Source organism: Homo sapiens, chromosome 9 (assembly GCF_000001405.40).
Source record: "Homo sapiens chromosome 9, GRCh38.p14 Primary Assembly".
Lineage (NCBI taxonomy): Eukaryota > Metazoa > Chordata > Mammalia > Primates > Hominidae > Homo > Homo sapiens.
The window spans coordinates 134,540,904-134,562,775 of NC_000009.12; the positions used below are offsets into that span (position 1 = coordinate 134,540,904).

Sequence of the window (21,872 nt, forward strand, 5' to 3'; positions counted from 1 at the left end):
GAAAAATCCTCCTGAACCTCCGCCAAGGGTGTGGGGAGCTGGTCTGGACCAGTTCCAGAGCCGGAACCCAGAGGAGGGGGAACACTCCCAACTTTTACGGCTGGCTTCAAATCACTTCCTGGAAATGGCCGAGTGCGGTCTGTAGCCCCCCTGGCCTCGTTGGAGAGCAATGTTCCGTGCAGGGGAGGAGGGTCACACTTGTCACAGGCCGCCTGGCCAACGCGGCCTTAGGCTCAACAGTCCAGAGGGGCTGCGGCTTTGCAGGGGAGGAAAAGGCCCCTCGTCTGGAATCCACGGAGCCCCTGGGCAATCGTGTATTAATGATCCTTTTCGGGATGCTGGGATCTGCCTGCGGCATCCTCCTGGGACAGCGACGGTCTCAGGACACAGCAGAGTCATCAGATCCGCCTGGTGGTTACAGCACTGCAACCCCGCATCGGGTCCACCCTACAATTTGCTGTTAGAGTGCTTAGCGAAGCAGGATCAACCTCAAACTTTTTGGGAGGGAGATCTAAGTCCTTTCAAGAAACGAACCACTACCCAGAGCACCCTGTGCCCACCATGATGACAGCAGCACTAGGCAGGGATTGGACACACACTGCACGCCAGGCTCTGTATCACGAGGCTCACACCCCTCCTTCACTGTGCCCCACGACGACTGGCGAGAAGGCGGGACTGCTGTGTGACCTTGGGCAGTTATTGAACCTCTCTGTGCCTCTGTTTCCTCGTCTGTGTCATGAGGATGAGGAGGGTACCTACTTCACAGGTGGCTGTGAGGATCAAGTTAATGTTCCCAGAGGACCTGGAGCATTGCTCACTGTTCGAGCCCTAAGTGTCTGAGCAACATCGCGTGTTTTAAGCAACGGGGTGGTGGCCATTCTCCTGGGTACATCTTGGCTGACTCCGTAAAAAGATGAAATAAAGATGAAATCCACTGCCGTAGAGATTCTAATGCTGAGGGTGCAGGGTATACGCAGTTTAGATACCGATTTGTGACCACACTGGCCCGGCAGCCAGCGCCCCCGTGGCATCACACCAGAGCACGAGGGTCACCTCTTCTCCAGTACACCAATGCCAGGTATTGAAAACTTCTTAACTGTTGCCAGGAGAATGGGTCAAAAATAATTCAAGTTGGTGTTTTAGTGTGTTCTCACACTGCTGATAAAGACATGCCCAAGACTGGGTAATTTATACAGGAAAGAGGTTTAATGGACTCACAATTCCACATGGCTGGGGAGGCCTCACAGTCATGGCAGAAGGCAAAGGAGGAGCAACGTCATGTCTTACATGGCAGCAGGCAAGAGAGAGAGCCTGTGCAGGGGAACTCCCATTTATAAAACCATCAGATCTTGTGAGATTTATTCACCACTACAAGAATAGTATGGGGGAAACTGCCTCCGTGATTCGTTATCTTTACCTTGACACATGGGGATATCGAGGTGAGATTTAGGTGGGGACACAGCCAAGCCATATCAATTGGGTTTGCGTCTCGCAATACACATAGCCTAGTTGTTTTCCCTTCCTTTGAATTGTCTGCTTCCTGTCCACTGTCTGTTTCTCCCACTGATTTGTACAAGCTCTTGTATGTTATGGAATTGAAGCCTTGCTCTATCCTGCAGCAATTTTTCTTTTTGTCCAGGTTGTCATTGTATTTGAATAATATGTGAGATGCTTACACATGTGTGTGTATGTATACACACATTCACACATGCATACATGTAGCATACATGTGTTATACAGATGTGTATACACATATGTGTGTGTGTGCGCTATACAGAACCTTCACGTTTCATGTACTCCAATCCATAGACATTTTGACATCACCTTTTTGGTGCCATCTAGAATCGTTCATGCTCCAGGATTGTATTTTAAATCCACACATGGCCTTTTCCTACTTTTTTATGTGTCATTTTTCATGTTTTAAACTCTCTCCTTCTGGAATTTGTTTTGGGGTAAGGAGGGAGGTAAGAATTCCATTCTTCCTTCAGGTTTGTTTCTCCGAATGTCAAGGCATTTGCCTCCCCACGCTTTATGGGACAGTCTGTCTTCTATCTTCAGTTTATCAGAATCTAAGATTCCACATGTCTCTCTGGACTAATTTCTGGACTCTGCTCTGTCCCATCGATGGCTCCAGTACCAAGGTGGCCTTGATACCACAAACGGCTACTTAGGCAACTTCATTACAGGATCAGAAATTTCTGGTCTGTCCTTGTAAATTAATTATTTTATTTGAAATAAAAATCATCTGTTAAGCACCCCCCTCCAGCGCTGCAGAGAATACTACTAGAGGTATTTTAATTAGCAGGATTGAATTCAACTTGTAGATAATTTTAGGAGAAAATGGCAGTTTTACCTTTTTTTTTTTTTTTTTTTTGAGATAGAGTCTCACTCGTTTGCCCAGGCTGCAATACAGTGGCACAATCTTGGCTCACTGCAACCTCCACCTCCTGGGTTCAAGAGATTCTTCCTGCCTCAGCCTCCCGAGTAGCTGGGACTACAGGTGTGCACCACCATGCCCAGCTAATATTTGTATTTTTAGTAGAGACGGGGTTTCTCCATATTGGCCAGGCTTGTTTCGAACTCCTGACCTCAAGTGATCTGCCCGCCTCGGCCTCCCAAAGTGCTGGGATTACAGGCGTGAGCCACTGTGCCTGGCCCAGTTTTACCTTTAATGAGTCTCCTATGCACCAGGAATTTCCTCTTTTTTCCATTTTTGTCTTAGGTTACTTAATAGAGTTTCTAACATTTCTTCACGTAGGCCTGTGCATTTCTTGTTAAACATCCGTAGTTATTTTGAACGTCTTGGCATTTTACAGCTGAGCTCTCTTCTTCCTTTGCACGTGCTCCAGGCTTTTGTTTCTTGGTGGGAAAGCAGCTGATTATCGTGGAAGGATTTTGAGCCAATAGCCTCTGTGGGTCGGGCATGGCTGCCCCTCCTCGCTAAGCCTGTGTGGCTTCTTCATGCCTCACATGTGGATTCTCCACCCTCTCTGTGCAGGACAGGACTTGGGCAGGGGACACAGATGTCGTAGGGGTGTTTGAAGTGCCAGGAGGGGGTGTCATGTTTTCTGTTCATTTTTTTGTTTTGTTTTTTGTTTGTTTGTTTGTTTTTTGAGATAGGGTCTCCCTTTGTCACCCACGCTGGAGTGCAATGGTGTGATCTCGGCTCACTGCAACCTCCACCTCCTGGGTTCAAGCAATTCTCCTGCCTCGGCCTCCCAAGTATCTGGGATTACAGGCGTGTGCCACTGTGCCTGGCTAATTTTTGTATTTTTAGTAGAGACAGGGGTCTCACCATATTGGCCAGGCTGGTTTCAAACTCCTGACCTCAGGTGATCTGCCCACCTTGGCCTCCTAAAGAGCTGGGATTACAGGCGTGAGCCACCGTGCCTGGCCGATGTTTTCAATCCTAGACTAGCTTTCGTCCTTTCATCCTCATAGTATTAAAAGAAAAGTAAAATCCGGAGAAGTGCAAGGGGTAGGGCTGCGCTATCCTGCGGCGCCCACTTTCACCAGCTGCAGGGAGCCGCTGGCTTGCAGTGAGAGCAGCCTTTAGTAACTAAGGTTCCTTCCTTCGGCTCACTGGAATCAGCCAGAAAATACCAGCGGCATGAGTCATACATGGGTGCCATTCATCGTCCATGGGGCAGCAAAGGAGGCCATTGTCCCACCCCAGAGTGGGCTGCCCTGGAGGTGGGGTCCTCCCGTCCCAGAGGCTCCCGGCCCTGCAGCTTTCTCTAGGGTTCGGCTCCTTGGAGGCATCTGACTTGGCAGAGATGAGTGGCCGGTCTGGCCAAGCCCCCGAGATGGTGTTGGTCCTGCCTGTCTCCCTGTTCCGCCTCTTGTCTGACCTAATCCCTGGTTCCCCTCCCCTGACAGACACCCACCTACCCTGCTTCCCACGGTTCCCCGCACGGCACAGCCCAAGCTCTCCTAGCAGATGTTCTCAGCTGGACAGGGCAGGATTGTTGCCTTCAAACAACAACAGGCTAATTTTCTTTTCTCCTTTTAAAAAGCATCCATGTGCTCATAAGCAATGGGAGTGAATGAAGAGCCAGGCCCAGCAACAGAGGGGAGCCTGCCCACATGGAGCAAAAGGAGCCGGACACCAGATTCACCCACGGCGCGATCCCGGTGACGGAGGCAGTGTGAGCAGGCAGGCGGCGGCCACTCTGGGGAAGGGAGAAGGAATGAGGGTGAGAGGGGCACAGAGGGCCTCCAGGGAGACGGTCCTATTGTGCCTCTTCTCCTGGGTGTCTGTCACCTGCATGCAAACTTTGTGATCATTCACTGAGTCACGTTTTCTTACATGTCTCCTTAAAAACAGTTCTTAAAAGCTCCAATGTGTATTTCACTAAGATTCACTTTCCTGAGTTGTGAAGTCTGAACTGGGGAACATCTGGATTTCCAGGCCTCAGGACATCACAGACCACGTTTCACATATCAACAACACGACGCAGCATCGGTCAGGGTGGAAATTGAGAATGAAAACCTTTCCCAAAGGCCGGCCCAGAAGCAGGCCATCTCTTATCCTTGAAAAGTCCCCAAAGACTAGTTTTAGCATCTGAAACTCATCTTTCCCCTCCTAAATCTGAACTTTGTGTTGCAAGGAAACCTCACGTTGCAAGCGTGTGTGTGCCTTCTCCCGAGACCCAGAGCTCAGCCTGTGTCACACAGGGAGCCCTGTGGCTGGGTGAGGCTGTGCCCTCGCCGGTGAGAGGCAGCACTCCCTCCACCGTCCATCCTGGGTTGAGATTTCATTCTGCAGGGTGAGTGGAGTGCCGAGGCGCCGTGCCCTGGTTACAGGTTCCAAACTCACAGCTGCCTTGTCAAATGTCCCTGTCTCAGGCAGGAAGACCCTATGGTTTGATCTCTGGGACCCTTGTCTGTCTAGGACCCTGCTGGGGCCACCTGTGCCTTCTCCAGGCGCCGGAAGGGCAGGAGAGCCCCGCCATCCTATTTCCCAATCCCTGGGAAGAGGTTTGGTTGATGGGGAAAACTGCAGCGTGTGCTCCTTCTGGTGAGTTCTGCATTCTTTCCTAGTGAAGTATTGCGCATGGAAAACCAGAATATATGGTCAGCATTCTTCCTATAAACGGGCGATTGTACGCTGTACAAGAATGACTGAGCAATGCCTAGGGGGTGGCCACGGTGTCCCCTCCCCATCCATGTGGTCCCAGCATGGAACTGGGTGGCTCGGTACCCGACGGACACGTGGCTGCAGACGCGCTGTCTCGCTTCCGTATTTCCAGTGGGGACCTTGCCGAAGCGTGGCTGTCGTTTACGTGACCGTCCTGTGCCTTGGTGTTTCCTTAGCCACAGGGCCCCTTTGTCACATTAATCACTTGGGGGAAGTCCTGCATGTGAAGGGGACTGAGATGGGGATGCTGGAAGCAGGGGTGCTGGCGTTGCTGCCCGGGGAAGCCTGCCCACTGCCCTGCGTCCCACCTTGGCTGCTCCCTGTCCCAGAGCAGCCTCTGAGCCTCCTCAGTGGGCTCCCGGGGGGCTGCAGAAAGCTCAGGAAGGACTGGTTTCTCACTCCTGCTGAGCCGCCTTTGAGCAGATCCGTCTCCAACCCGTCTGTATCCAGGCAGGCTCGAGTCCACATGTGAGAGCCGTTTCAGCCTGAGGCTTGCCGAGAATGTGTACATGGGATTACTTTCTCACTGGCTTTCAGCAGACTCTCAGATGTTTTCCGAAAGAAAGAAAAGTTTGGCTCTGAACCATATTGAAAATCCCAGTCAAGAATTCCACACACATGCTGAGAAGCAGTTCAGCCTTTTTCCGCGGCTAGTTGACGTGCAGTTAATTCTTCCAACAGCCCCTGAAAGGGAGTCGATGAACAGTCAATCCCCATGGGTTTTGGACAACTGATTACAATCACACTCACCATATGTTAGAATGTGCCACGCGGACATGGCCTCCTCTTGCTGGGAATGGCCTGAGCCTCCGTGGAGTGAAAACTCACAGCCCTGCCCTGAGGGGCGATGCTCCGGGGACACCTGCCCCTGTCTGCTGAGATGGGCAGCAACGGGTGACTCCTCCAATGCCCCAGGGTGGTAAGCGGGACCTGGCAAAGCACCTGGCAGCCACCACCCTCTTCTTCCAGTTATGACAGACAGAGCCGAGGCCTCCACCACGGGCCTTCTCTCCCATTACACCTGGCTAGGGGCACCATTCATGTTGGTTTGGGGTCTTGCAACCAAAGTGTCTTAAGACGGGCTCTCTGGAGTCCTTGGAAATAGAGAATTATGTATGGGTGGTTTTGGGGAAACGCTTTTGGGACCAACACCTAAAAGGGCGTGAGGGGTGCAGCACAGGGCGGAGGGAGGAGTTGAGTGGTGACGCGGTCGTGAACTCGGGCGTCAGCCCGTCCTGTGGACGGCTCTGGAGCTGGGATTCCCTTTGGAGTTGTCCTGCGTTGAGGTAAGCGGGCTGAGCCTCCGGACCGACTCCCATGCGGTTTGTCCTGAGATGTGGCTGGGCCTGGGAGCGGGCGTGACCTCACACAGTGCAGCTCCCTTGGGTGCAGGGCAGCTGGCAGAGACTCTGCTGTGATCCGCCGGCAGCTCCAGGCCCGCCTGGAGTGACAGCCTTGGTCTTGAGGGTGGCATCTTGGGCACACGAGAACATTTGCTGCAGCCTCCTCACTTCCTCGAACACTCAGTTACTCTGCGAGAGCTTCGGCTGATCTGTTTTTCTGGGGAAAGGTAACAGAAGGGTTATGGGATAAACCACGGCACCCTCCACCCTCGCCCGGTTGCAGCCAGCCTCGTCATTTCTCCCCTCAGCCACCCATTCTCAATTCCCTTCACCCCCGCCTGTTGCCTCTGCTGGTCTGGCCTTAAGCTGGGTGACCCCCACCCTTGCCCCTCAGGTCAGTGCCCCGGTCACCAGGCCCTTCTCCAACCAGCTCTTGCATCTGTCCTGTCACCCTCACACATGCTTAGGGGTGTGCGCAGAGTTGAAACTGTGTTCTTCCCTCCCCTGTTGTGTGGCAGCAGCACCCCACCCCCCCACGAGGAGCAGGCCCAGTGACTCCGGCTAAGAGGCCAATTTCCCGCTTCAGTGACCATCTCCTTCTTACGCTGCTGGTCTGTTGGCGTGAGGAGCCCACAGTGAGCAAGAGGCAGTCAAGGGAAACTGGAGGGGACTCTTCCTGTGTCTCTGGGGACAGCAATGCCTTAGGAGAAACTGGACTCCTGGGCTCACTGGGCCCGACGTTATGAAGACAGGAAGATGAGCTCCCTCACCCAATCACAGGGGTGTGGTGAGTGGGACCTCCCCTCTCCCTTCCCTTGGCTCTTAGACTGGTGTATTCTACCCTCTGGGTGCACAAGGCCATTAGATGGTCAGGGACGGGTGTCTGCCGTTCTGGAGAGGGGCCCCATCCTCGCTGGCAGTCTATGTCTGCTACTGCAACAAAACGTCTCAGGCTGGGTCATCTGGGGGCAGCAGACATTATTGCTGACAGTACTGGAGGCTGGGAAGTTCAAGATCAAGGAGGCGAAGGAAGGTTCGGTGTCTGGGGAGGGCCTGGTCTCTCACTCCAAGACAGTGCCTTGAATGCTGCATCCTCCGGAGGGGACACGTACTATGTCCTCACATGGTGGAAGGCAGGAAGGCAAAAAGGGGTCTAGCTAGGTCCCTTGAGCCCTTTTATAAGGACACTGATCCCATTCATGGGGCTGCAGCCCTTATAACTCAATCGCCTCTGAAGGGCCCCACCCTTTAATACTATCACATTGGGCCTTAGGCTCCAACATGTAAATGCTGGGGGGACGCACACGTTCAAACCATAGCACTCACCCTCCAGCGGCCTGTCTCCAAGTCAGAGTCTTGCAGCCTGGTCAAAAGGCCCCTCTGTCACCCGTCAGGCCAGCAGCTTCTGGGTGGAGCAGCCCTGTGCTGGGACCAGCGCAGCCGGTGGCGTGCGGGTAACTCTCACCTCCTCCCAGGCCCGCTCAGGGACATCGCGCGCAGAGCCAGGGTTTGGAGTATCTGCCCCGGGGAAGTCGACTCGGCGCGTGCTACAAAGTGGGTCTGTTTTCTAGGATTTTGTTTACCCCAGAGAGCTAAGATTGTTAAACATGTACTAGCCCAGCACTGAGTATATCTCACTTTCTGTGCCAAGCAGTGTGCGCATGCTTGTGTGTGTGCCTGCGTGTGTGTATATGCATGTGTGTGATTAAACACGTGTGTTACTGTGTTTCAACCTCACTGCTATCCCGTCTCATAGGTGTCATCTCCACCGATGAGGAGGCTCAGGTGAGTCAGGTTAGGCCCCTCCCCAAGGCCACGCACTTAGGATGTGGCAGAGCCGTTTGAGCCCAGGTATGTCCGACTCAGGAATCCTCCTTCTTAACCGCACTGACTACCGTATGTGGACAGTTGTGTTTCCCTTCTGGCTTCAGTACCTTCTGTGGCTGGCACCCAGACCATCTCTGACTCTGGCTATCCGTAGAATCCATGCTTCCATAAGTCTGTTCTCTCCGGGCCCCTCGGGAAGCGGGAGATCCGGGAGATCCAGGGTGCCAGAACACCTTCTTGGGCTCTCACCGACTTTCTCAGGCAGCTGGAATTCCGGGAACCCTCAGGTGGGCACAGGGCCAGGCCGCCCCTAACATCGTGAGCATCCGTCTGGGAGTCTACGCAGCCGTGGTTGTCCCTCTGTGCCAGCCTGAGGCTGGGGGTGGGGATGTTGTGGAGGGAGCAGGCCATGGGTCACTGGAGGAGCTGAGGGTGCCTCATACCATTTCTTTTGGGGACAGTTTGCCTCCAGAGTCCTGGCAGGGGGTTTGTGGGAGAAGGCAGGGCCCCGTTACCCCACATCAGCTGAAATAAAAGAAACATGCGGCACACACAGTCAGTAAGACAGAGCCACCGAGGCAGCCATCTGAGGGAAAGTGACATTTTCACTGGGCTCTCTCACCCTTGCTGAAGGGCACAACCTGTTTTGTTTTCAGCTGCAGGCTGGGTGGTGGAGGCTGGGTGGAGAAGGCTGGGTGGTGGAGGCTGGGTGGTGGATGCTGGGTGGAGAAGGCTGGGTGGTGGAGGCTGGGTGGAGAAGGCTGGGTGGTGGAGGCTGGGTGGCGAAGGCTGGGTGGTGGAGGCTGGGTGGAGAAGGCTGGGTGGTGGAGGCTGGGTGGAGGAGGCTGGGTGGTGGAGGCTGGGTGGTGGAGGCTGGGTGGAGAAGGCTGGGTGGAGAAGGCTGGGTGGTGGAGGCTGGGTGGTGGCGGCTGGGTGGTGGAGGCTGGGTGGTGGGTGGTGGCGGCTGGGTGGTGGCGGCTGGGTGGTGGCGGCTGGGTGGTGGAGGCTGGGTGGTGGAGGCTGGGTGGAGAAGGCTGGGTGGTGGAGGCTGGGTGGAGAAGGCTGGGTGGTGGAGGCTGGGTGGTGGAGGCTGGGTGGTGGAGGCTGGGTGGAGAAGGCTGGGTGGAGAAGGCTGGGTGGTGGAGGCTGGGTGGTGGCGGCTGAGGCCTCTCTCTGAAGGTCATCCCTGGCAGTGGTGGCTGTGCCTGGGACCCTCTTGCTTTCCCTGGGGGCCTCCCGGAGGAACAGCTCTATGGTGTTTCCGACCAATCCCCTTTCTTTGGGTCTTGCTGGTTATAAAATGGGAATATTCATTTCAAGTGCCGAGCCAATGCATATTCTTTTCCCACCATCATAAAAGACTTGCTTCCTAATGACAATAACCTTCATTGCAGGCCGTCGATTGTCATCTCTGTTTGTTTTTCCACTCCACCTTCTCAGCTCCTGTGCCACCTCCCACCCCACGTCTTGTTGACTTCATGTTTATCCTTCACTCACTCAACAAGCACATGTGTCCTTAGTGATGCCCCTGCAGCCCCTGTCCCATCTGGCACTGTGTCATTCAGGTGTTCCCGCCTCCCCGGACACCTCCTTCGGCCCCCTCTCCTGGGTGTTCTGGACAACTGCGGCCACGTGTCTGCTTTGCTCCAACTCTGAGTGGTCTCAGGCAGGTCCTTGCCCCTCTGAGTTTCAGTTTTATTTATAATGTAGAGAAACGGAGAACTTGTTTCATAAATGATCCTCACCAATTCCACGTGGTGGCCCAGAGGGCTGTGTTGAGAAGGACTCTGAGGAGCAGCCCAAAATTGACAGGAGGGAGGGCTGACCAGCAACGTGTGTTGTGAGAACAGGAGGGAAGGGGGCCAGGTGGACACTGGCTCTTTGCTGTCCTTGGACTGGATGGTGCTTCAGCACCTGCATCTCTCCGCCTCTTCACACCTGTCCCGCTTTACATCCTCCGTGTGGGAGACGTCACACCCACCTTCAGTTTAGAGCTGGGGCCGCTCTGTTCCCCAGGGCCGCAGCTGCGGGGCAGAGCTGGTTGTCAACTGCGTGTGAGGGTGGAATCGAAGGGGTCCTCTGTGCTGGAGGACCCCGTCCTGGAGAAGCAAAAGGCTGAGTCGCTGAGTTTTCGGGTCTTGGCTCCCTGCCCATGGCCCCTTTTCCCAAGTAGAGACCCCAGTGGTCCTGGGAGCCGCCCTGCAGAAGCCCTGCCATGACCTGGCATCCTCCGCAGGTGAGGGAGCCGGCCTTCCACCTGGAGGGGGCAGAGGGCAAAGGCTGCAGAGCCTCCGCCGCGTCAGCCGCTGGTTGAACGGTCCAGGCGTGCGCGCATCCCTCGCAGCCGTCGACACACAAACAGGCTGGTCTGACGGGACAACTCTCCACTGAGTTCAAGCTCAACAGGCTCAGATGAGACCCACAGACCATTATGTGTTTACATCTGGAACTTTCTTTTTCCTGCATGTGGCCCCCTTCCTGCACAAAAGGTTGGTCTTCTTCATCTCCCAAAATCCATACGGCTTGGCATAGGATAGAAGCACAGACAATGATTTCTGCGATTGATTTATTTTCCCTTGTAACTAAATGCTGAAGTGACAGTAATATAAGCCAGCCCTAGGGGATCTAATTCAGTGTCCTGATTGATAGGACAGCAAACTTGGTCTTGCTCTTCATCTCAGGGAGCCCAGACTCCCCGTGGACAAGGGGCCGAGAGGTTTGTGCAGCCTTCTCTGCCTTGTTTCACGCCGGCCAGTGGCTGGTCTAGGAGGGATCCTTCCCCCACCCCCCACCCCAAGTCTATTTCAGACCCACCTCCTGCTGACTCTGCTCCATCGAGAAGAGCTATAAATCAGCCTTCCTTCTGGGGTGATTATAAAAATCACTCTATTAGCAGTTGACTCACAGTCTAAAAATGTGCTCATGGCATAGTTGTGGCCACTGAGCCTGGTTCGGTGGGACAGGCCCCAAGCCCCAGCCCGCGCCTTTCTGCAGGAGGACTTCCCTTTCCAAGCACGCGCGCTGCCGCCAGAGCCTTCCGGCCGACCCGCCGCGGTGCCCTTCCTAGCGACGGCCTGTGATGTTCCTTAGCCACGGGGCTTGGCCCAGACCCGCTAGAGGGGGAACGAGGGAGGAAGCCATCTGGGGAGGAATCAGAGTTCAGACGAGAAAGGAAATTGCCCTGAGATGATTGAAATGGCAAGGAGAAGGGAGAACCTGGCCAGTCCAGCTGAACAAGCGGATGTGGGGTCGGGGGTGGCCTGGGGTCCCTGTCCTGGCTTTGGGTCTCCCTTGTACCCATGTAGTACTAGTACTACTACTACTCAGTGACCAGCTCTGCTGACACTGGGGTCCGGCGGAGTCTGAGGGACTGGAGGGAGGCTGCCTTGTCTTCTTCCACCTCCCTGGGTGCCAGCTGGGTGGGGCAGGCATGGAAAGCCCTCTGCAGATGTGCAGGTCCCCCAGGAACAGAATGGGGGTTCTAGGTGAGTGTGACCGGGGGCTTCCATGTAACCCCACTACAGTGACCTGAAAACAGGACCAGTAACCCCAGATCAACCGCCAGCCACACCCTGGGCACCATCTCCCCCAGAAGTCCTTTGGTGCCCCAGGGCCAGCACCTGCTAAGGTGAGAATTGGGACCACCTGTGCCCATGTCCCTCAGCCATGCTTGCCCTGGCTTGTAGCTCCCCAGGACAGGGCTGGGCCTTTGCCTCGGGTGGGGTCCCTGCAGCTGGCTCCGTACTGCTGGCCACACCTCAGGACTTGGTGAGCCTTTGAACACTAAGTTCTGAGCTCAGGGGGCTCAGCATTTTAGACTTTGGTTTTGCTGACACTCCTGACCAAGTGCACTTTCCCCTCTGCAGAGCCAGACTGTGGCTTTTCCCTTTTGGGCAGTGGAAGGGGCGGGCCAGAGGCTGGGTCAGGGTAGTGGAGAGAAGAGCCCCAACCAGCTGTGGCCCGTGATGCAGTGCCTGGGGCTGACCCGGGGCTCCAGCTCAGCCTGGGCCTCAGCCGCGTCAGATCCCCACCAGGCCTCCTCCTGGGTCCCAAGGGGCTTCCCTGCTGTCGGCAGTACCAGCAGCTGCAGTTTGATTTGGGGCAGAAGTCAGGGTGGGCTGTGTCCAGAGAGTCACCCTGAGTGGCCTGTAGGCACAGCATTGCTCGGAGATGGCGCTCACCCAACCTTCATGCAGCAGGCACTTCTTGAGTGCCCAGCATGTGCCAGGCCTGGCGCGGCCCGGCTGGCCCAGTGCGAGTGTGGACCAGCCCTCCTTGTTGGGACAGGCAGGCTGGGGAGAGGAGAGCAGGGGCCCGAGGCCGGCATTCTGCACTTTCCATCCCCTCCTCCTGGGCTCCCCGCTTCCTGGGAGGTCCGGGCAGGAAGCCGGGCAGAGCCCACCCCCATGCTCTCAGACTTTTGACAAGTGCTCCCCTTGATGCCAGGCTGTGACGGTGAAGACGCCACTCCCAGCAAAGTCAGAGTGATCTTCTTCCTGCCTCCCCAGGTTCTCCAGCCCCTCAGTGCTCCCTGGGGAATAGCAGCTCATCAGGGGTGCCGTCCAATCCCCAATGGGGTTTCCTGTGCGGCTCTGGAGGGCTCTGGTTCCCTCGGTCTCCAGAGAAACATGTGAGGACAGCGATGGTTTTGCAGTTTCTGGCGCCGCCCGCAACACAACTCCAGGTTAATAAGAAGAGAAAGCCTCTCCTTTCACTTTCTTGCCGAATGCCTTTCCGGGCAAAGAGAAGGGGAGGAAGAGGAAGGCTGGGGAGGGGGAATTCATTTCCCAGCAGGGGATGGGGGCTGTCAGCCCTCGGGGGGCCTGGGTGGGTCTGAGGGAGACACAGAGCCTGGGAGTCCTGCAGGCCTGGCGGAGTGAGCAGGGGGGTGTGGGGGCTGGGAAGGTGGGGAGACAGGAAGGCACTTCAGGGGACCCAGGTGGGCCGATGCCCTGTGGATGGAGGGCACTCCGGAGGCCCAGCAAACAGAAAGCCAGAGATGGACAATGCTGGGAGGCGGGCGTCTAGGGTGTCAGGATCTCTAGGCTGCCAGGACGTAGAGGAGCTATGAGCGGCACAGCCCGCTGGGGTTGGTGGGAGGTGGCTCCGCAGGGGCCTGTCACTTGGGCTTGAGAGAGATTTGGGTTCCAGACTGCCTTGACTGTGACCTTGCCCTGGGGGTCAGTGCCTCATCCGAGAGATGGACTGACTCCCCCTGCTCTGCGCTCGTCACCTGCTGGGAGGCTCAGGTGAGACGGTTTGGGTGACAGCAGCTCGGGTGCTGAGGTGTCCAGTTCTGCAGGACTGAGGAAGCGCCGCTGTTGTGGACGCCGCACCTGCCTTGGGCACTGTCTGTGTAGAGCGCTGCCCAGGCGGAGCCCTGGACTGACAGGGCCCCCCTTGCTCTCCTACCCATCCAGACCAGCAAACAAGCCCTAAGGTGGACAAGTGCCACAGCGACTCAAGGGCACCTCCATCGTGGTCCACACAGTGAGCCTTGCCCCCATCTATGCCATGGCAGGCATCACCAGCCCCTCCCTGCACTCACAGCATTGGCCTCCTCCCTGCTCGGCTCTGCAGCCAGCCATGGAGGCTCCACCCCCAGGCTTGCAAGGCAACCTCCGCTGGCTGTCCTGGCTGGGCCCTCCATGGCCTGGGCTCTGCGGGCCAAGCACGAGCTGACCTCTGTCTCCTGAGGACAAGCGTGCTGGGTGGGGATCAGAGGAAGATCGCCTGAGAAGGCAGAGGAGGTCTCACTGGGGCATCTGGGGACCAGACGCGGGAGGCTGAGCTCATCCACATGCTGGGCCAGCCGCTCTCCCCAAGGCCCTGGAGACAGTCTGAGCCCAGCCAGGGTGGGGCTAGAATCATCCAGATAAGCCCAAAGGCTCAGTGGTCCACAGATGATGGGTCCAGCCATGCAGAGTGGCTGGTGGCTGTGCCAGGTCCTGGGTTCGTGGATACTCTGGGCACAGGAAGCCTGGGAGATCTCAGGGAGGCCCCTGAGGATAGCGAGGTGGGTGGAGGGCATCATAGCATCCCAGCACCCATCCTACGCTGTGTGACCTTGGGCAGCTCGCTTGCCGTCTCTGGGCGGCTGTTTCCCCATTTCTGAGTCTATCGTGTTCCTCAGTGGTCACTGTCTCAGTGGATGCTGCCTTCTAGGCCAGCAGTTGTTAAAACCGCACAGCTGCAGGGACGGCTGAGGGAACAGGACCCAGTGATATGGAAACATGTGGGAAGGCATTGCAGGAAGTCATGGAAAGAGCACAGGAATTTTCTCTGAGCCACAGAGCTGGGCAGAGGGGGCAGGGCATTTTGAGAACCTTTGATAAATTACTTACCATGTTCTGGAAGGAAGGCTCTTAGAGCCAGCTGGGGCTGCAGGGGAAAGCTGACCCATGTGTTTCCCCATGGGAATGGGAGACCCACAGGAGGGTAGGGACTTGTCGAGGGTCCCAGGATGTTGGCTCCGATTGGGAGGCCCTAATTCCAAAAAGTAAAGGGCAGGGTTCTCTCCGAACCCGCCTGCCACCTGCAGGACTGTCTCTGGGACATGCTCCTCCCTGAAAGGAGTCTGGGCTCACAGGGAAAGGTCAGGAGTTGGTCATTGGACTGTGGCTGATTGGGGGCTTCCTGGAGCACCCACTGCATGCCAGCCCTGTGTCGGGGGCGGGGGGGAGCCCAGGAGCAAGCCCAGCAGTGTCTGAGCTCTATGGGGGCCCTGCCCACCCATCGGAAATGGTAGGTGACCTCATCCTGTCAGGTACCTGGTACAGGGCCTGGGGTGGAGGCTTCAGCATGTCTCGGGGACCCACAGAACCGCCTTGCTGCAGGCACTGTCTACTGAGCTCTCACCTCTCACTGCCTCTCTGAGTCCATTCAATAGATCAGGCACGGCAGGGCATGGTGGCTCACGCCTGTAATCCCAGCACTTTGGGAGGTCGAGGCGGGCAGCTCACCTGAGGTCAGGATTTCGAGACCGCCCTGGCCAACATGGTGAAACCCCACCTCTACTAAAAATATAAAAATCAGCTGGGTGTGGTGGTGGGCGCCTATAATCCCAGTTACTCAGGAGGCTGCCACAGGAGAATCGCTTGAACCTGGGAGGCGAAGGTTGCTGTACGTGGAGATCGCACCACTGCACTCCAGCCTGGGTGACAGAGCAAGACTCCATCTCAAACAAACAACCCCTGAAAACACCAAATCAGGTAGCTTTTATGGCTGCTTCTCCCAGATGAGCAGATGGAGACCCACAGGGGCAGCTTCCACCTCTCCAGTTTCCATGGCGAGTGAGGGGCACCGCAGATTCAAAGCCAGGGCTGCCTGAGCCCACAGCCGCTTCTCCCTACCAGTGGGCTCTGTGCCCCACTCCTGCCAAACCCTCAGGGGTGCCTTGGGCTGGACTTGGGCAGGGACCTCTCGTCAGGGACCTCTCGTCAGCGGTGGCTGGGAGATGCAAGGGAAAGCCTTCCAGCTCAGCTGGGTGTGGAGTCAACAGCGTGTCCAACACTGCAACATCAGCCCTGTGCCTGTGGACTGCAGCCCAGATGGCCTGGCTCTTTCTATACATTCTGTGTCTGCCTGAGATATGCGCTCTGCAAGGAAACAGATTTGCTCAAGAATGCTCAGGGCCCTGGAATCCCCAGTGAGGAGATGTTCTAATGCAGCAGGAAGCGAGCAGGCTGGGCCGTGGCCGCACGCACCATGATGAAGAGGCCGGGACCCTGGCAGCTGGCTTTGTGGGATAGACACTGGCTCGCAGATGTGCGCTGGAGACAGCAGGGGCCTCGGTGTGGAAACAGTAGGTGTGTCAGAGGGTGGACGCTTCCTCCTTTTCTCATCCCATAGCCAGGTTGCTTCTAGGCCGTCACACTGGGAGTGCTCAGCCGCCATATGCAATCAGGTCCCTGGCATGTTTTCTGTCTTTCCTGTGTTCATTTCTTCCTGGGAACAGGTTGCTGCTTTGTGGGGTGAGGGTGATGGTTGACGAATCCTCTGTGGGAATTGCAAGAGCATGCAGGGAAGGTGAAAGCTGCTTTGCATGGTCCCCGGGGTGTGACTCCTCTGGCCCAGTAAGCATGGCAGATGCACTCACCTAAGCAACTTTGGGAAACACAATTCTGATGAGAATCTGTATGACTACAGGAAAAGGCAACCGTGCTTCAACACTGCACTCAGCGCAGATATTGCTCACGGGAGGGCAGGTTACCGATCCTGAAGCTGCCGTGCGTGTGTACAGGGATGAAACGGCAGCTGGGCTCCTCGTTCTTGGCGAGGGAGGTTTTGAATGAGCAAGGATGCGAGGCTGGAATCAACCACAGGCACTGGGGACGTCACTGTGAACACCCATCAGCGTCCTGTAGCTAGAGGTGGGCGGGTATGGAAAGAGATCTAGCTCTGCATGGATACGTGGGCTGTACACAAACTTCCTAACCCCATCTGCTGAGCGAGACTGAAGCAAGGGTGCCTCCGCGGCAAACACTCCAGAGCCCAGATCTCGGGTTCTGACTCTATCCTCCAATCAAAGGGAACAGAGCTCCTTGGGGAGGGAGTAGACACACGAGATGGGAGCACTGTGTAGTGCCAGAAAGTAAAGACGGGCTCAAGGCCGGGCATGGTGGCTCATGCCTGTAATCCCAGCACTTTGGGAGGAGGAGGCGGGCAGATCTCTTGAGGTCAGGAGTTCGAGACCAGCCTGGCCAACATGGCAAAACCCCATCTCTACTAAAAATACAAAAATTAGCCAGATGTGGTGGCACGTGCCTGTAATCCCAGCTACTCGGGAGACTGAGGCTTGAGAATCACTTGAACCCAGGAAGTGGAGGTTGCAGTGAGCTGAGATCGTGCCACTGCACTCCAGCTTGGATGACAGAGTGAGATTCTGTCAAAAAAACCCAAACTGCCCCCCACCAAAAATAAGTAAATAAATAAACTCAAACAAACTCAAAGCAAAAGGATGGGGCACGTCACAGGGCCAACCTGAAGGAGCTCCCAGTGGCCAAAGCTGGAACAATTTGAGCAAGATATGGATAATGAGGTATTGGGGTAGAACCCAAATTATTATAAAATAAACACCCGTGACTCCACAGTGACGTAATAAATTATTCAGTCAGTCAGCGAATGGGGAGGAGAGACAGGCCCCCCGCACAGAAGAGCTCTGCTTTACGTAGTTAAGCCTCCTGCCCCACCCAGCCTGGAGTGTGGGCTGCACTTCGTGACTCCTTTCTGGAGAGGACAGAATGGAAAGGAAAAGGAAAGAACTCAGTGGTGGAGAAGCTGGCATGTGCTGTCCCTGCCAGGTGATCAAGGTCAACTCCGTGGTGATAAGTGATGTTGAGACGATGGGACTGCAGTGGCGCTTCCGTTCCACGGTCTTGCTCCCCAACACCCGTAGCCCCGGTGTAATCCAGAGAGAGACACCAGACACATCTCAGCTAGGAGACACTCCACAACAGACTTGACTGAAACACCTTCAAACTGCCAAGTTCATCAAAAAGAAGGAAAGTCTGAGACGCTGCTGCAGCTCAGAGGAAGCTAAGGAGACATGGTGACCGAAGGTGACATGGTGTCCTGGAGGCTCTCTGGGGACAGAAAAGGACATTGCGGAAAACTGGCGAGCTCAGAATAAAGCTTGAAGTGAATAGCACCAAGGCCGGTTCAGTTAATAACATCCCATTGTTGGTCTCTCAGCTGTAACAAACACACCATCGGAAAGTAAGATGTTAAAAATGAGGAAAACAGCGCAGAGTCCACTGGCACTCTCCGTACTGTCTGCAATTTTTCCGTAAATTGAAGCCCATTTTAAATTTTTCAATGCATTTTTTTTAAGTAGTCAGGTGTATTTGTGTGGCTTGATTTCTGGGTTTCCTCCTGTTTCACTGATCTGTGGGTATCGTTTCGCCATCATGTGGTCTGTGGCTTTATAGTGTCTTGCAATTGGGCAGCAGGAGTCCTCCTGGGTCTGGGGAGGTTGGAGCTGTTTCTGGGTGCCCTGAGCACGTGGTGCATGGAGAGGCACAGCACGGGACTTCTGTGTGCAGGCTCTGGGGCCAGAATGCCCCAAACACACCTTCACAGAATGCCCCAAACACACCACCTTCACAGAATGCCCCAAACACAGCTTCACCTCCACCGTCTGCTAGCTGTGTGATCTTGGCTAATTTTCTTAACTTTTCTGTGCCTTGATGGTTTGGCTGTCAAATGGGAAAACTGCTGTACCTTGAAGTGTGTGTAAGGGTTAAATAAACTCATATGGGCCAGCCACAGTGGCTCACGCCTGTAATCCCAGCACTTTGGGAGGCCAAGGAGGGTGGATCACCTGGGGTCAGGAGTTCAAGACCAGCCTGGCCAACATGGAGAAACCCCATGTCTACTAAAAATACAAAAATTAGCCGGGTGTGTTGGCGGAAGCCTGTAATCCCAGATACTTGGGAGGCTGAGGCAGGAGAATCGCTTGAACTCGGGAGGCGGAGGTTGCAGTGAGCCGAGATCGCACCATTGCACTCCAGCCTGGGGCACAAGAGCAAGACTTCATCTCAAAAAAAAAAAAACATGAGCTCATGTGTATGGAAATGCTGAAGACAGTACCTGCGCCTAGCAGAGCTCCATCCTCTCAGCCATGATCGGTTCCTGCGGGCAGTTGAAGGCTTGGACAATGAATGGCAGCCTCCAGCCCTGCTTCATCCAAGCCACTTATGAAAGGCCCTGGCCACTGAGTGGAGAATTCAGAGGTGCTTGCCCACCAGGTATACGTGGAGGGCAGCTTCATCCTTGCCCACGTTTGCGTGTGGTCTGGCATCAATCGTCCTGGTTGGCTCCTGAAATTATTGAAGGTGGAGGCAGAGAAGAAACCATGGGCCATGGGGTCAGATGTGCCCAGGGCTGGACTCGAAGCTGTCCTAGCTCTGTGACTGCACTCCGAGATGAGGGAGAGGGTTGTTCCGTGTTGTGTGTGTGCCTCATGCCCTTGGAGGCTGGCTTGGGGATGCTGCAGAACATAAAAATCACATGGAGACATCATGAGGTGCCCACCCCATGGATAAAAATTAAAATATTTATCTATAGCAGGTGTTGGCAAGAAGACAAAGCCATGGGAAAACATATCCTCACTGGGAGGAGTGGACATGCAGAAGGGTCCGGTCTGACCTGGGAAAGCCAAGGCCATGGCTGCCCACAAGGCAGGGCCTCCACTCCAGGAACGTCCCCCTCCTGTGGAAGCCCAAGCTTGGGTGCACCTGGAGGTAGGGATGGAGGCTCATAGGAGCTTTGCCAGAACCCAAATGCCCATCCAGAGAAACAGGGTTGAAGCGTGGTAGATTGATGCAATGAAACACCGTGCAACAAAAAAACCCGAAACCCACAAAATCCTCCAAGCACACACATACACCAATAAACCAAACCCAGGGAACAACACAGATCAACCTAGAAACATAATATTGAGAGAGAAAAAAGGCCAGACATGAAAGAGTTCTTACTGTATGTTTCCATTTATATAACATTCAAACACAGACGAAACTACATTGTTAGGGCAGCATAATTAGATAGTAAAACTCAGAAGAAAAAGCAGGAAGCGCTTACCATAAGAGTCAAGGTGGTGGTTATCTCCGGAAGGGGAGGAGGCCCTGCTCAGGCGGCCGGGAGCTCAGGATGTCCGAGACGAGGGCGTCTGGGTGTGGGCCATTGCCTATTTCTTGACCTGAGTGGTGGATACACGGATGTTTGCTTTATAACAATGTACATACTCTATTGTATATTATATTTCACAATTAAAATAATTTTCAGGTCAGGTGTGATGGCTCATTTATAATTCCAACACTTTGGGAGGCTGAGGTGAGCGGATCACCTGAGGTCAGGAGTTTGAGACCAGCCTGGCTAATATGGCGAAACCCGTCTCTACTAAAAATACAAAAATTAGCCAGTCATGGTGGCGTGTGCCTGTAATCCCAGCTACCTGGGAGGCTGAGGCAGAAGAATCGCTGGAACCAAGAGGCGGAGGCTGCAGTGAGCTGAGATTGTGCCACTGCACTCCAGCCTGGGTGACAGAGCAAGACTCCATCTCAAAAAAAAAAAAAGTTTTTTTTTTTTTTTTAAATTAAGATATATGGCAGAGCTGAGGCAAGTTTAGTGCCCTTGAAAAAAATATCCTAGAAAATAATAAAAGGAGGTCCCTAGTGCGGCAGAAAGGGCACCCTCTTTGGAACAAGAAAGAAGTGGGTTTGATCCCTGGCACCGCTCCTTACTATAATGCATATAATGCCTTGGGCAAGACATGAAACCTTTCAGAATCTTATTAACCAACCCATAAAATAAGAAAAATAGAAAAGGTACCCAGAAGGGCAGCTGAAAAGATTGTCTCTTGCCCGGTGCCTGGCACGGATTAAACCTTAACAAGTGGCATCTGTGATTGCTGGTGTTGACATCATGGCCAATGTCTCGGGCCACTAGATCCAAAGATGGCACCATCAGTTCACTCCCCCCGACGCATTGATGCCACCTCCCTACTGAGAGGTAGATTTTATTGCTCCTCCCCTTGAATCTGAGTGCACTGACCAATAAAATGCAGCAGAAGCAAGGTCTAAGAACTTCTGAGGTCTTGCTGAAGATCAGACTGGAGGGCTTCCTGGGACATCAGCCACCCAGACTTGGTCCCTGGCTCCTCCACAGCCAGGTTACAGAGGAGACATGGCACCCTGGCTCGTGGGGTGCTGGAGGCTCACCGTCAGGTGCCTCCGGAAGGCTGGAGAAGGTGCATCGAGAAACAAACCAGGGTGTGTCTTGCTAATAGGAATAGGAAAGGCTCTGCTGAATGTGAATGCTTCAGCTGGACATGTTATTAACCCAATTAGTTTAACAAGTATTTACTGGGCACAAGCTCCGGGCAAGGGTCAACCCCTGTCCCTTGCAGAATTCGCACCCTATGGAAGAATGCAGGTAAGCTCCGGAGTCATGAGTTAAGGTTGGCTCTTACTCCAGGTCTACGAGGAAAGTGGGAGGTGGAGCTGCACTTCCCAGCACTGTCCTCAGAACCCCATCCATGAGAGGGGCAGAGGGACCAGGCCAGGGCGGTCTTGCTGCTTTTAAGTCACAGCAGGACACCTTGACATTTGTCAGCCTGTGAAGGAGTCAGGATGAACCCCATCCTACCAGCCTGAGCCCACCACTCACACATGAAGTCTGATTCCTTGCCATGTAAATTGGAATAATCTTTCCAGAAGAAAATTTGGCACACATTCCTAAACTTAGAGTGCTCACACCATATCCAGCAGCTCCACTGGTAGGGATTCACCCTGCTGACATCCTCCCACTCACATCCCAAGATGCCTGCATGGCCATGTTCACTGCAGTATTGTTTATAACAGAAAATCCCGCACTCTCTCTGAATATTCGGTCAGTCAGGACCTGCTTAAGTCATGTTTTGTTCCTCTCCAGAATGAAATCCTAAGCAGCTGGAAAGAAAAAATGAGCTAATACTCTCAGCTCATGGGTAGAAACACTCCATTTCCTAAAGATGTCATCTGTCCTCACTTAATCTATTCATTCAATACAATTCCAATACAATC

At 54.6% G+C, this 21,872-nt stretch overlaps 1 long non-coding RNA gene across 1 annotated transcript in view, besides 4 other annotated features; it reads left to right on the forward strand.

The window, feature by feature from the left end:
* Positions 1–4,360, forward strand: part of LOC100506532 (uncharacterized) — a 58,996-nt gene extending 54,636 nt beyond the window's left edge. Inside the window, exon 3 of the long non-coding RNA NR_188441.1 lies at positions 4,017–4,360. This is a non-coding gene — a long non-coding RNA (uncharacterized LOC100506532). The remainder of the gene's footprint in view (positions 1–4,016) is intronic.
* Positions 4,352–5,117: an enhancer, noted in NCBI's record as "H3K27ac-H3K4me1 hESC enhancer chr9:137437101-137437866 (GRCh37/hg19 assembly coordinates)". NCBI's record gives its function as "activates a minimal SCP1, AML or CMV promoter by ChIP-STARR-seq in naive H9 embryonic stem cells {active_cell/tissue: H9 hESC(naive)}" and the evidence as "EXISTENCE:reporter gene assay evidence [ECO:0000049][PMID:30033119]".
* Positions 12,006–12,527: an enhancer, noted in NCBI's record as "H3K4me1 hESC enhancer chr9:137444755-137445276 (GRCh37/hg19 assembly coordinates)". NCBI's record gives its function as "activates a minimal SCP1, AML or CMV promoter by ChIP-STARR-seq in naive H9 embryonic stem cells {active_cell/tissue: H9 hESC(naive)}" and the evidence as "EXISTENCE:reporter gene assay evidence [ECO:0000049][PMID:30033119]".
* Positions 12,528–13,048: an enhancer, noted in NCBI's record as "H3K4me1 hESC enhancer chr9:137445277-137445797 (GRCh37/hg19 assembly coordinates)". NCBI's record gives its function as "activates a minimal SCP1, AML or CMV promoter by ChIP-STARR-seq in naive H9 embryonic stem cells {active_cell/tissue: H9 hESC(naive)}" and the evidence as "EXISTENCE:reporter gene assay evidence [ECO:0000049][PMID:30033119]".
* Positions 13,912–14,514: an enhancer, noted in NCBI's record as "H3K4me1 hESC enhancer chr9:137446661-137447263 (GRCh37/hg19 assembly coordinates)". NCBI's record gives its function as "activates a minimal SCP1, AML or CMV promoter by ChIP-STARR-seq in primed H9 embryonic stem cells {active_cell/tissue: H9 hESC(primed)}" and the evidence as "EXISTENCE:reporter gene assay evidence [ECO:0000049][PMID:30033119]".